The sequence below is a fragment of the Homo sapiens genome, chromosome 2, assembly GCF_000001405.40.
Source record: "Homo sapiens chromosome 2, GRCh38.p14 Primary Assembly".
Lineage (NCBI taxonomy): Eukaryota > Metazoa > Chordata > Mammalia > Primates > Hominidae > Homo > Homo sapiens.
The window spans coordinates 78,476,225-78,490,208 of record NC_000002.12 but is presented as its reverse complement, the minus strand read 5'-3'; the positions used below and the strand labels follow the sequence as shown (position 1 = coordinate 78,490,208).

Below are 13,984 nucleotides of genomic sequence, written 5' to 3'. Positions count from 1 at the left end.
TCTCTGCTCAGTCTCTCAAGGCTGAAATCAAGGTCTTGGCTGAGGGAGCTGTTATCTGGAGGCTCTTGGGAATAATTAGTTTCCAAAGTCACTTGTGTGTTGTCAGAATTCAGGTTTTTAAGGTTATAGGTCTGAGTTTTCCCTTTCCTTAATGGCTGTCTCCTGTGGCTACTGTCTCCTCTTAGTGCCTGTTCAAATTCCTTCTTTTTCCTTTTTCCCATTTTCCTTTTTTTTAAACTTTGATTTTAAGTTCAAGGGTACAAGTGCAGGTTTGTTACACAGGTAAACTTGTGTCATGCGGGTTGTGGTACAGATTGTTTTGTCATCCAGGTATTAAGCCTACTACCCATTAGTTATTCTTCCTGATCCTCTCCCTCCACCCACCCCCACCCTCTGATAGGCCCCAGGGCATGTGGTTCCCTTCTGTGTGTCAATGTGTTCTCATCATTAGCTTTCACTTACAAGTGAGAACATTTGGTATGTGGTTTTCTGTTCCTGTGTTAGTTTTCTAAGGATAATGGCCTCCAGCACCATCCTTATCCCTGCAAAGGACATGACCTATTTTCAAAGGTGGCAGCAGCCCATTCCGTCCTTCTCAGGCTTCAGATCTCTCTGACTTTTCTTGTCTCCCGACAGAGAAAATTCAGCTTTTAAAGGGCTTCTGTAATGAGATTGGGCCCATCTGATAATCCTTTGCATGCACTCATGCTCAGTTGGCCCATCAGACTTCACTTACAAAATATAAGTTCTAAGACGAAGTATTAAGAGTTTAAAGAACGTGAAAGCGGAGCATTAAACCAAGTGCAAACTCTGTCTTGAGTATGAGGCCCGTGCAGCTGCGCAGGCTGCCTGCCCTTGAAGCCGGATTTCACCAGGTAAAGCGCGATCACTTTCTCCAATCTTATGTAAGCATGTTGAATAATTTAGGGTGACAACCAAAATTATAGAACCTCCAGCTGTAATTCCAAACCTCCAAGAAAAAATGGGGGAAGAGAAAACTTTCAAAATCACGTGATGCGGTGTGGACTGAAATGATTTACTCTACATTCATGTTAATGGTTGTCGTTAGAAAGATTTCAGGATATAATCAAGGACTCAGTCAGGGAAAAGATGAATTGACTAATTTGTAAATTTTTATTTTTTAATTAAAAATCTGACAAAATACAATATAAAAATATTTGTTTATTTGCGTTGGTAAATACTTGTGTGTAAACAGTAGTCTCTAAAAATGTATGTGTGTATGTGTATAGTAAAAATATAATAAAATAACTTCAGCCTGTAATCCCACCAACTCGGGAGGCTGAGGTGGGAGAATCGCTTGAACCCAGGAGGCAGAGGTTGCGGGGAGCTGAGATCACGCCACTGCACTCCAGCCTGGGCAACAGAGTGAGACTCCATCTCAAAAGAAAAAACAATAACCAAACAACTTCAAATCACTTCTGATGTCCATTAAAAAACAAATAAAGATCTCAAACATGGAGCTGCTACACTAAAATTAAAATGAACAATAAAATCAATTAATCATGTAATAAATAAATATGTGTAACCATGATCTTAAAACATTGCAAATGTGGTAATAATTCTTGAAAGTTCATATGAACAATGGAAAAAACAATGTTATATTTTTTAACATCTGTAATCTAATTGTCTCAGCATATTGACTGGTTTCCATCATGGATAGAGGTTGCTTTTGATAAACTTCAACATTTACAGAAGATTAAAAAATAAACCCTGGCAGACCTGAAATAGAGAAACTTTCTTACCTTGATAACTATGAAATATGTATAAATGGTGCTGTACCTAAAGGGAAACTCTAGCATTAGAACAAGAGAAGATTACAACTTAACATGGAATTACTTCTATCTAATGCAGGAAGAAAGAAAAAAGAAATAAGACATATCAGAATCAAAAAATTTTAAAAAGTGCCATTATTTGCAGTATATGTAAATAATGATGTTAAATAATTTAATATGATTATCTCCTAGGGAAAAAATGGAAATAATAATCAACAAAACATGGTCACTTATAAAAGTGTTTGGTAAAGTCTCCACAAAAAAATGTATATTTACAAAAATCAATGACAGCAAACTAACCACAACTAAAAATAAAGATATTCTTCATATTAGCAACAAAAATATAAGGTCTTTAAAATAATACAGAAAACCTCTTTGTATAAGAAATTAATATTTGATTAAAAAACATAAAAGCAGATCTGAAGCAAATTGAGCCATTTTGTACTTTTCACAGGGTGAATCAACAGTATCAAACACTGTTTCCCTTCAACATTTTAAAACAAGAAACTAGGAAAGGAGTGAAGGAATCTGCCTCACAGATTGTAAGGACTTGAAAACCCACCGATAGACCAAGGCATGTGTAAGAGTATGGTTTATAATGGAGCCGAGAGAGAGAGAGAAAGAACATCCATAGAAAAAGATGAATAATTTAATAGTTTCCAAAGGTGGACTCCATATCTTCCATCCCACATGTTCTTCTGCAATGTGACCTGTGACTGAACAGATAATTAATTAGAAGAGAAAGATCCCAAAGGCCTTCAAGCATATGAAGAAATGCTGAAATTCATCAGTAATCAGAGCCAATTAAAGCAGTAATGAAATATCACACTGTACCTATCAGATTGGCTTGAGTGAAAAGTTTTATATCATCAGTTGGTGGGGGGTGTTCCCTCATTCAGGCTGGCACATCCAGTGAATATTACACTTCAGAGCAAAATTGAATATGTGGATAGCCTTTTGGCCCAATAATAACAGCACCTCATGGAGATCCAAAAGGAAACACATGCAAAGATGTTTGTTGTAGTTTTGTTTATGGGAGTTAGAATTTTGAGGCAATGGGAGACCATCACTGGGGCTTGATTAAGTAAAATATGGAGGATACACTGTATAGAATATTAAGCAGCAGATAGATGCATGGTATTGAGAGTAGATTTTAAAAAGGGTTCTCTCTCTCTCTCTCACCCTGCCTAAAAACATGATGGCATTTTTGGCAATCACCATTCATATAAAACAAAAATACATGCATACAAATTTCTAATGTATATTTTACAAGCACCCATTTTAAAAGTAATTCTGTTATATATATTAGAATGATTGTACAAGGGAATGGGGATAGTAATTATAAATAAACAAATCAAGAGGGAACCATGATAAAATAGTGATATATAAGATGAAAGGTTTGATTAACTGAATCTACTACTTACTAGATTGAAAAGAAATTTATATATTTTTCCAAGACTTAGCCAATAATAATGAGAGATGATATGCATTCTAGTCTTTCTGATCATTTAATTTATTCACTTAAATGTTAAGTAGTCCCTCAGTTTCCTATGGCAACTACAAATGGAGTGGAACAATACATGTGTGCCTTTGAGATTACAGACCTGAAGTGAAACCTAGCACAGTGCAAGTTGCTGGCTGAGGCAAAGCTTCAGAGCTGCTCCTATGTTCCCCAGGCCAAGTCTCATTTCTCAGGTGCCTTTGTCTTCCACATCTGGGAATAGCATTTGCCCCAGCACCTAGAGCAGAATGGAACCCATTGTTCTTCTTCATTTATTTACTCCATGTCTTATTTCTGAGGAGAAGTATGTCACTAGCATTCTAAAGACATGAATTCTAGCCTCCCTTCTTAGCATGCTAATGTTGGAAGAATCATCAAACATCAAAAACAGAGGCAAAGCTTTTCAAGCTCTAGCTCAGTAGACAGAACAGGGAAATCAGCGATTCTCCTAGCCTGCTTCATTCTGATCACTTTCGCTTTCTTATATCGTACATGCTGGGTTACATGTACAATTTTGCTAAAAAAAAGTCTGCTTCTACAAATAGGTAGGGACATCTACTTTGTGCCAGAAACTGTGCATTGTAAGTACAGTCTTTTCTATAATGTGACAGAATTTTTAAAATCATGAAATATGTCTCTCTTTTCTTCCTTTCTTTCCACATTTACTGAATATCATCAATTCATCTGTGACTGGCTACTGACTAGTAGAGGCACACGTTTTAATACTGTGCATTGTTTTAATCACTGGAACTATGACCAAAACACAGATAATTATTAATTATATATGTGTTTTATGCTTAAACAAATAATTATTAATTATTTGAACATATCTAGTTATGGAGGCACAAATGTGCAAGTCACAAGCTATGTATTTGCAAATCTGAGGATTGATACCACTCAGCTGTCCTTATTAATAAATATGCTGAAGTTCCAACAGTAGTTCTAACAAAAGGAGCAGAATATTTTTGTAATAGAAAGAAAAAAAAAGAAAGAATTGATTATAAATGCCTGCCTCATTTTAGTTACCATGTAAGGTCAATGTTGTTATCTCTTTTTTCACAGAGGAGGAAAACCTTGAGACCCTGAGACTTTCAGAAACTTATTCACAGTTACCAAAGCTGGTAAGTAGAACAATGATCTCTAGAGTTGCCCATTGCTCGGCTCATGGATGGCAGTAATGGCATCACCTGGGAGGTTGTTAGACATGAGGAATTTCAGGCCTCACCCTTGACCTCCTGAACCAGAATCTATTGTGCTGGGGCCAAAAAAATTTGTGGGTTTTTTTTTTTTTTTAATTTAGGTTTTAGGGTACATGTGCACAATGTGCAGGTTTGTTGCATATGTATACATGTGCCATGTTGGTGTGCTGCACCCATTAACTCATCATTTAGCGTTAGGTATATCTCCTAATGCTATCCCTCCCCCCTCCCCCCATCCCACAACAGTCCCCGGAGTGTGATGTTCCCCTTCCTGTGTCCATGTGTTCTCATTGTTCGATTCCCACCTATGAATGAGAACATGCGGTGTTTGGTTTTTTCTCCTTGCGATAGTTTGCTGAGAATGATGGTTTCCAGTTTCATCCATGTCCCTACAAAGGACATGAATTCTTCATTTTTTATGGCTGCATAGTATTCCATGGTGTGTATGTGCCGCATTTTCTTAATCCAGTCTATCATTGTTGGACATTTGGGTTGGTTCCAAGTCTTTGCTATTGTGAATAGTGCCGCAATAAACATACGTGTGCATGTGTCTTTATAGCAGCATGATTTATAATCCTTTGGGTATATACCCAGTAATGGGATGGCTGAGTCAAATGGTGTTTCTAGTTCTAGATCCCTGAGGAATCACCACACTGACTTCCACAATGGTTGAACTAGTTTACAGTCCCACCAACAGTGTAAAAGTGTTCCTATTTCTCCACATCCTCTCCAGCACCTGTTGTTTCCTGACTTTTTAATGATTGCCATTCTAACTGGTGTGAGATGGTATCTCATTGTGGTTTTGATTTGCATTTCTCTGATGGCCAGTGATGGTGAGCATTTTTTCATGTGTATTTTGGCTGCATAAATGTCTTCTTTTGAGAAGTGTCTGTTCATATCCTTGGCCCACTTTTTGATGGGGTTGTTTGTTTTTTTCTTGTAAATTTGTTTGAGTTCATTGTAGATTCTGGATATTAGCCCTTTGTCAGATGAGTAGATTGCAAAAATTTTCTCCCATTCTGTAGGTTGCCTGTTCACTCTGATGGTGGTTTCTTTTGCTGTGCAGAAGCTGTTTAGTTTAATTAGATCCCATTTGTCAATTTTGTCTTTTGTTGCCATTGCTTTTGGTGTTTTAACAAACCTTCCAGATGATTTTTAGACACACTAAAATTTGAGATCCACTAATCTAAAGCTATGATGATTTGCCTCTAAGCCTATGTGTTCTCTTCATTATGCTCTGAGAAATTTCTACAAGACTTTATTCTCTTTCCAGCATATTTAAAAATTTTTGTCCTGAAAAGCAACATAAGGACACAACAGACTAAAGAAGACTGGAAAGAAAATATTTTTATAGTATTATTTTTTCATTGATCATTCCAAAGAGGAAAACAATGTCGCCTGAGTAACTTACTTTATTATACAGGGGAATTCCATTGCATACTTGTATTAGAAAGCAAAGAAAATTATATCTTTCAAATGATTGTCATTTATGGAGAAATATCCTGAATCCTCTTAAGTCAAATTTGGGATTAAAAATAAAGTACAATTCTTATATGAACTGATGCAGTTGATCTCACCCTGATTAGTCCATTAGTTCAATGATTAATTGCGCCTTTCATTTCTCTGTTAAGTAGTGAATGTTTAATTTTTGGCTGTATGTGAAGTGTAAGTACATTTGCAGCATTTGCTAATGTAGGATTAGCCCTTATTTCTTTTCAGCTATGGTAATATTTTAAGTGTAATACATGAAATTTTTATCTGCTTGTATAGGGTCCAGAAATCTCTAAGAGCTGATTATTTAGAATTCACTATAAATGATTGCATGCCACACAGGGCTTTATTTAAGAGAGTTCAAATTGCCAGTAAATTTGGAAAGCTGATTAAGATTTATAAAAGACTCTATCAAGGTAGATACACAGAAAAGAAGATATTGCAATTTAAATAGTTAAAGATGGCAACTTAGTAGGGTATGGATACATTCCTCTTCTTTTAATTAACTGCTGGTTAAATTTGTAGTTGCCTGATAGTCTTAGTTCAATTTTCCTATCATATGACCCCTACCTTCTTTTAATATTAATACATTTGGAATACTATTGTCTTTAAAAATATATTTAAATATATGTACTCTCCAATATGGAGGCTTTTAAAATGCTCTTTTCTAACATCCAGGTGCTGGATCATCTCTCTAATATCCTTCAATACATGGTCAGCCAGCATCTTCAACACATTAGCCCCACTGACTTGTATTTAGTTTGAAGCAGTTCAGACGACACCATTCCAAGTGTGTTGCTCAAGTATATTGAATGTTTTTAGTTTAAGGCACTTGAAAAATAGCAGGTACAAAAAGAACTTCCTTCTTGTTCCTGAAAGCAGGAGACCAAATTCCCATGTGAAAGCTATTCACCCTATACCAGAAGGAAAGTATCATTCCTACCAATGACAGGAAGTTGAGGACATGGGGAATCTGTACAAAGAAAACTTACTAAACTAACCCTTTCCTTCCTAGTGTCTTCTCCACTCAGCTAACTACTCTAACACAAGCCCTTTTGCTTTACCACATTTTCAAAATTTACTACTCTTTGTCCAACTCAGTATGTAAGTGTTCAACTTTAACTGGTTTTCTAGGTCTTCATTTTTTTATGTAGGAACCTATATAACATAAAACTTAAAATGAACAAATGCATATACTTTTCTTCTCTTAATCTTTCTTATGTCAATTTAATTATCAGACCCAGCTGAAAAGCTTAAGAGGGTGCAAGTAAAATTTTACCTCCCCTACACATTTAAGTTGATCTGATCTATAAATAATATTATCAAGTTTTAATTATGCTGCGATGTCATTATCATTGTAAATTTGATGAGTTACGACCTATATAAAGCCCTTTACAACAATTTCATACTTGTCACATCAAGTATTATTTCTCTGTATACTTCTAGATATCAAAGTCGAGTTCCATAAAACATCTAGCCACAGAGTCCACTTTATAGCCTATGAATGTTTCTATATTAATACAAATATCTGATCCTATATTGTAAAAATATTTGCTCTGATTTAAGTAAATATATAAATAGAGTTTTGTATATTTAAACAAAATTCTTAATGTATACATAGATATGTATTTTCTGGCCTAGTTTAATTTTTCTTTATAGAAGGGATTATATTGTATATACTATCTTGAAACTTGACTTTTTTACATAATGATCAATCATAGAGAATTTCCAGTACATTTAGGTTTATATAGAAAAGTACAGAATTTATATGTTCTAATTTTTGTTTCTCATTATCTAACTGTAGATGTTGGAGTAAACAAAAAAATACAAATGACGGTAATCTGCTAATTTTTTTTTTTGCTTTTTATTCTTTAATTAAACACTATTATGGTTTTCCCCCACCTCCTGTGAAAAAATTAAAAATGAGGTTATCATTTAAGTGTTTAGAGTTTACACAGTGTATAGAATTTTGTTTAAACTATTGTTGAAATAAAAGTTTCATTTGGCTAGTCCTCCTGACTAGTAAGAATATACTACAATTTACTAAATTTGCCTTTCTGTGATACATTGGTCTGAGTAAATTGTAACTGAACTGTCTCCTTTTGGCTAAATTAAAGAGAAACCTCTACTTCTGATGTGGTATCACTGGGAGAGAGAAACAAATAAGAAATTTTTTTATGTGTTAAGTGAATAACAGCTTATACTGCACATTTGGCAACATCATAAACCCATTGGCTTGTGATATACTGAAAGACATTCCTCATTCTTCAGCTCTCCTTGCATTCCAGTGTATAAAACCCAGAGATCTATGCCAGGGTTCAGAGGGAGACATTAACACAGCATCTGGCATAAGATATATCAATCACAAAGGAAAATGTCCAGACCTGGGGGACTACTGTATGCCAGGACCAAGCATGCATGTGTTCACTAGTCCTGGTGAAATGGGGTGGGAGACATGCAGACAGGAGATGACTAACTGGTGGTATGATACTTGGCCTTTTATTTTCAGTATAAGTGAATATGTAATTGGTTGAGAAATGTGTATACCTTAAGATAGCAGTTGCCATTTTTTTTTTCACAGATCTATGAGTAAATATTGTAGGCCTGCCAGCCTTATTGTCTTTGTAACAACTACTGACTTCTGCAATGTTGTGTGAAAGCAGCCATATACAAAGTTAATACATAAATGAATGGATGTGGCTGTGTTTCAGTGCAACTTTATGGACACTGAAACTTGATTTTTATGTAATGTTCATGAGTCATGAAATAATCTCCTATTGAATTTTTTCAATTATTTAAAAATGTAAAAACCTATCTTAGCTCATAGGCCATACAAAAACAGCACTTAAATAAACTTATATATGTAAAATTTGGGTTTTAGCACAAAGGATATATTCTGAAAGAAATACAGCATAATCTTTAAAAGCAATTTATGACTCGTATTTAAATAAAAGGGATGAATAGATGATGTGTATCTAATAGGTGAAATAGGTAAGTTATAGATAGGCATAATATATGTCTCACAGAAAGATGTTTATTCATGAAATATTTACTAACGCATATAATAGAAGAAAAATACAAGATAAAATGCCAAGCCCTAAAGTATTTTTGCAATTTATTGGGTGAGGATCAGCAATAAATATTAATATTAGAACAAATGTAATAAATATTATAAAAGATGTATATTTTCAAATATAAAGAAGACATATTAATTTTGATTGACTAAAGCAATAGTTTAACAGAAAAGGTAGCATTTTATATAAATCTTAACAGATGAGTAGAATTTCAAAATAAATAAAAAACTACTTTCAGGCAGATGGAGTAAGAGCAGCAAAAGCATTGAGAGATTTAAAGTTTATGGAAACTAAAAGTTAAAGCTGCATGTTGTTTGGAGTCTTACATGGGAATTAAAGACTAGGCAGTATAAAATAATTTGAAATGAGGAGCCATTACCTTTATGGATGAAAAATTAGTTATAAACATAGATAATAGGTGTGTGCATGGAAAATATATTGGAAGAGATAGGATATTTAAGAAAGAGACAGGTATTAGAAAAGTATTAATTCAGTCTTGGCATGAATATATGGTTAAACCAGGGCATTGGCAGGGGAAATGAATTTGTCAGTTTAGAGAAATGTTTTTGAGATATTGTTTATTCTATAGAGAGACATGGAGAAGATAAATTATGGCTACATTAGCTTTCAGCCTTGGTGACAGGAAGGTGTTAATCCCAAGTGTTTAGAATTTTACAGTTCAAATGCACTTCTACATATGGTATTTCATTTAAACTTCAATTGACCCAAGCAAATCAAGCATTAATATTTCCTTATTATTATTATTATTTTGGTATTTTATTTTATTTTATTTTTTATTATACTTTAAGTTTTAGGGTACATGTGTCCAACGTGCAGGTTAGTTACATGTGTATACATGTGCCATGTTGGTGTGCTGCACCTATTAACTCATCATTTAACATTAGGTATATCTCCTAATGCTATCCCTCCCCCCTCCGCCTACCCCACAACAGGCCCTGGTGTGTGATGTTCCCCTTCCTGTGTCCATGTGTTCTCATTGTTCAATTCTGACCTGGGAGTGAGAACATGTGGTGTTTGGTTTTTTGTCCTTGCAATAGTTTGCTGAGAATGATGGTTTCCAGCTTCATCCATGTCCCTACAAAGGACATGGACTCATCATTTTTTATGGCTGCATGGTATTCCATGGTGTATATGTGCCACATTTTCTGAATCCAGTCTATCATTGTTGGACATTTGGGTTGGTTCCAAGACTTTGCTATTGTGAATAGTGCCGCCATAAACATACGTGTGCATGTGTCTTTATAACAGCATGATTTATAATCCTTTGGGTGTATACCCAGTAATGGGATTGCTTGGTCAAATGGTGTTTCTAGTTCAAGATCCCTGAGGAATCACCACACTGACTTCCACAATGGTTGAACTAGTTTACAGTCCCACCAACAGTGTAAAAGTGTTTCTGTTTCTCCACATCCTCTCCAGCACCTGTTGTTTCCTGACTTTTTAATGATCACCATTCTAACTGGTGTGAGATGGTATCTCATTGTGGTTTTGATTTGCATTTCTGTAATGGCCAGTGATGATGAGCATTTTTTCATGTGTATTTTGGCTGCATAAATGTCTTCTTTTGAGAAGTGTCTGTTCATATCCTTGGCCCACTTTTTGATGGGGTTGTTTGTTTTTTTCTTGTAAATTTGTTTGAGTTCATTGTAGATTCTGGAGATTAGCCCTTTGTCAGATGAGTAGATTGCAAAAATTTTCTCCCATTCTGTAGGTTGCCTGTTCACTCTGATGGTGGTTTCTTTTGCTGTGCAGAAGCTGTTTAGTTTAATTAGATCCCATTTGTCAATTTTGGCTTTTGTTGCCATTGCTTTTGGTGTTGTAGACATGAAGTCCTTGTCCATGCCTATGTCCTGAATGGTATTGCCTAGGTTTTCTTCTAGGGTTTTTATGGTTTTAGGTCTGACATGTAAGTCTTTAATACATCTTGAATTAATTTTTGTATAAGATGCAAGGAAGGGATCCAGTTTCAGCTTTCTACATATGGCTAGTCAGTTTTCCCAGCACCATTTATTAAATAGGGAATCCTTTCCCCATTTCTTGTTTTTGTCAGTTTTGTCAAAGATCAGATGGTTGTAGATATGCAGCATTATTTCTGAGGGCTCTGTTCTGTTCCATTGGTCTATATCTCTGTTTTGGTACCAGTACCATGCTGTTTTGGTTATTGTAGCCTTGTAGTATAGTTTGAAGTCAGGTAGCATGATGCTTCCAGCTTTGTTCTTTTGGCTTAGGATTGACTTGGCAATGTGGGCTCTTTTTTGGTTCCATGTGACCTTTAAAGTAGTTTTTTCCAATTCTGTGAAGAAAGTCATTGGTAGCTTAATGGGGATGGCATGGTATCTATAAATTACCTTGGGCAGGATGGCCATTTTCATGATATTGATTCTTCCTACCCATGAGCATGGAATGTTCTTCCATTTGTTTGTATCCTCTTTTATTTCATTGAGCAGTGGTTTGTAATTCTCCTTGAAGATGTCCTTCACATCCCTTGTAAGTTTGATTCCTGGGTATTTTATTCTCTTTGGAGCAATTTTGAATGGGAGTTCACTCATGATTTGGCTCTCTGTTTGTCTGTTATTCGTGTATAAGAATGCTTGTGGTTTTTGCACACTGATTTTGTATCCTGAGACTTTGCTGAAGTTGCCTATCAGCTTAAGGAGATTTTGGGCTGAGACGATGGGGTTTTCTAAATATACAATCATGTCATCTGCAAACAGTGACAATTTGACTTCCTCTTTTCCTAATTGAATACCCTTTATTTCTTTCTCCTGCCTGATTGCCCTGGCCAGAACTTCCAACACTATGTTGAATAGGAGTGGTGAAAGAGGGCATCCCTGTCTTGTGCCAGTTTTCTGAGGGAATGCTTCCGGTTTTTGCCCATTCAGTATGATATTGGCTGTGGGTTTGTCATAGATAGCTCTTATTATTTTGAGATACGTCCCATCAATACCAAATTTACTGAGAGTTTTTACCATGAAGGTTTGTTGAATTTTGTCAAAGGCCTTTTCTGCATCTATTGAGATAATCGTATGGTTTTTGTCGTTGGTTCTGTTTATATGCTGGATTACGTTTATTGATTTGCATATGTTGAGCCAGCCTTGCATCCCAGGGATGGATGAAGCCCACTTGATCATGGTGGATAAGCTTCTTGATGTGCTGCTGTATTCAGTTTGCCAGTATTTTATTGTGGATTTTTGCATCGATGTTCATCAGGGATATTGGTCTAAAATTCTCTTTTTTTTTGTATTATTATTATTATTTTGAGACAGTATCTAGCCCTGTCGCCCAGGCTGAGTGATCTTTGCTCACTGCAATCTCCACCTCCAGGGTTCAAGTGATTCTCCCACCTCAGCCTCCTGAGCAGCTGGGATTGCGGGTGCGTGAGCCATCACCCCCGGATAATTTTTTTTTGTATTTTTTAGTAGAGAATGGATTTCCCCATGTTGACCAGGCTTGTCTCTAACTCCTGGCCTCAAGTGCTCCACCCACCTCAGTCTCCCAAAGTGCTAGGATTACAGTGTGAGCCACTGTGCCTGGCCTCTCCTTTCTTGAAAGAAAATTTAAGTTCAATTAATTAAAATTTTGGATGTGTGGTACCATAAAGGCAGATAACAAAGCATGTTTGAGTCTAACTCTACTATCTTTTTTCATCATTTGAATGTTTTCAAACAGCATAAACTTTGGACAGGCTGAGTTTAGGAGTACAAAAACTTTTTGAAAGTTAGAAATGTAAGAAATGTGAGGTATAGATTTTAATGGATGTTATTACTGAGACAGTAGCAGAAGTAGGGGGAATGAATAAAATTTCCCCAGGGCAGAAAGTCTAAAGTGATAGGAATACAGAAACTAATGTATTTTTCAATAACGTTTGTGATGTGAACTTGAAATGAAAATATAGGGTAACGCGTGTCATGGCAGTACCCTGCTTATTGGCTTTGGGGCATTGCTTGATAAAATTCCTGATGAATGCTACATGATCAAAGTAGCATTTATGTGATCAGATGAGATAGGCAGAAGTCAAGCAGGAGAATGCGAAGAAATAACCACAAGGAAAAACAACTTAGAGCAATTTTCTGTAGCTATAGGGAGCTGTAGAGGGCGTGAGCAGGCCAGTTAACCTTACATCCTCTCATCAGCAATAGAGGAGGTTCGCTGGGAAAACTCTGTATCTCAGACAATGATACAGAGTGTTGAAGAGAATAAATACCAGTATTTTATCAAGTCTAATGTAATTATCTATTTTAAGATGAAGTGCACTTACTATAAATCAGTAATACAGAAAAACTACTGCTAATTAAATGCTGACAAAACATATTTTTATGCAGAATTTTGTGTTATGTTTAATAAGTCTTTAGATAGATCTTGATTTATATATCGCTTTGTACATACATAAGTGGAAAATGTAAGCAAAGAAAATTCAGGATATCATTAAAACTGTGTCACGCTCATGGTCTGACCTACTGAGTCATTTTTCAATTTCACGTCATTTGTGAAAATAACATCCTCTATGTTACAAAAGTTGACTGTTTAATATTTTATTTTAAAAATTATTAAATATTGCTCTGTTGGCGCTGGAATTTTTTTCAAAGATGTTGAATATCCTATGGGGATATGATGTGTATGATACGTTCTCAAACGGCTTAGGAAAAGTAGTTAGATGATAGACTCACGGCCAACTTCCTGGAACCACTGAATTGGCTTCTCTGTCTACCTCCTTGGTTTAATTTTCCCCTCTTATTTTTTCCTTCTCTGAAGTTCCCTTTCTTTGATTTAAGTACATGTACATACTCTTTAAGATATATTGTCCCCCACCCTCACCCAGCATTGTATTGTCTATATGCTTTGTAGCAAGGAAAGTTTGGAGTTACTTCTGCTTGCTCTATTGCTGGAATAAGAATTATCTGTTCT

The 13,984-nt window shown here is 35.6% G+C and overlaps 1 long non-coding RNA gene across 1 annotated transcript in view; it reads left to right on the top strand.

Moving 5' to 3' along the window:
• Nucleotides 1–13,984, top strand: part of LOC124906027 (uncharacterized) — a 126,610-nt gene that overhangs the window by 51,682 nt on the left and 60,944 nt on the right. The window contains exon 2 of the long non-coding RNA XR_007087117.1: nucleotides 4,357–4,415. This is a non-coding gene — a long non-coding RNA (uncharacterized LOC124906027). The remainder of the gene's footprint in view (nucleotides 1–4,356; nucleotides 4,416–13,984) is intronic.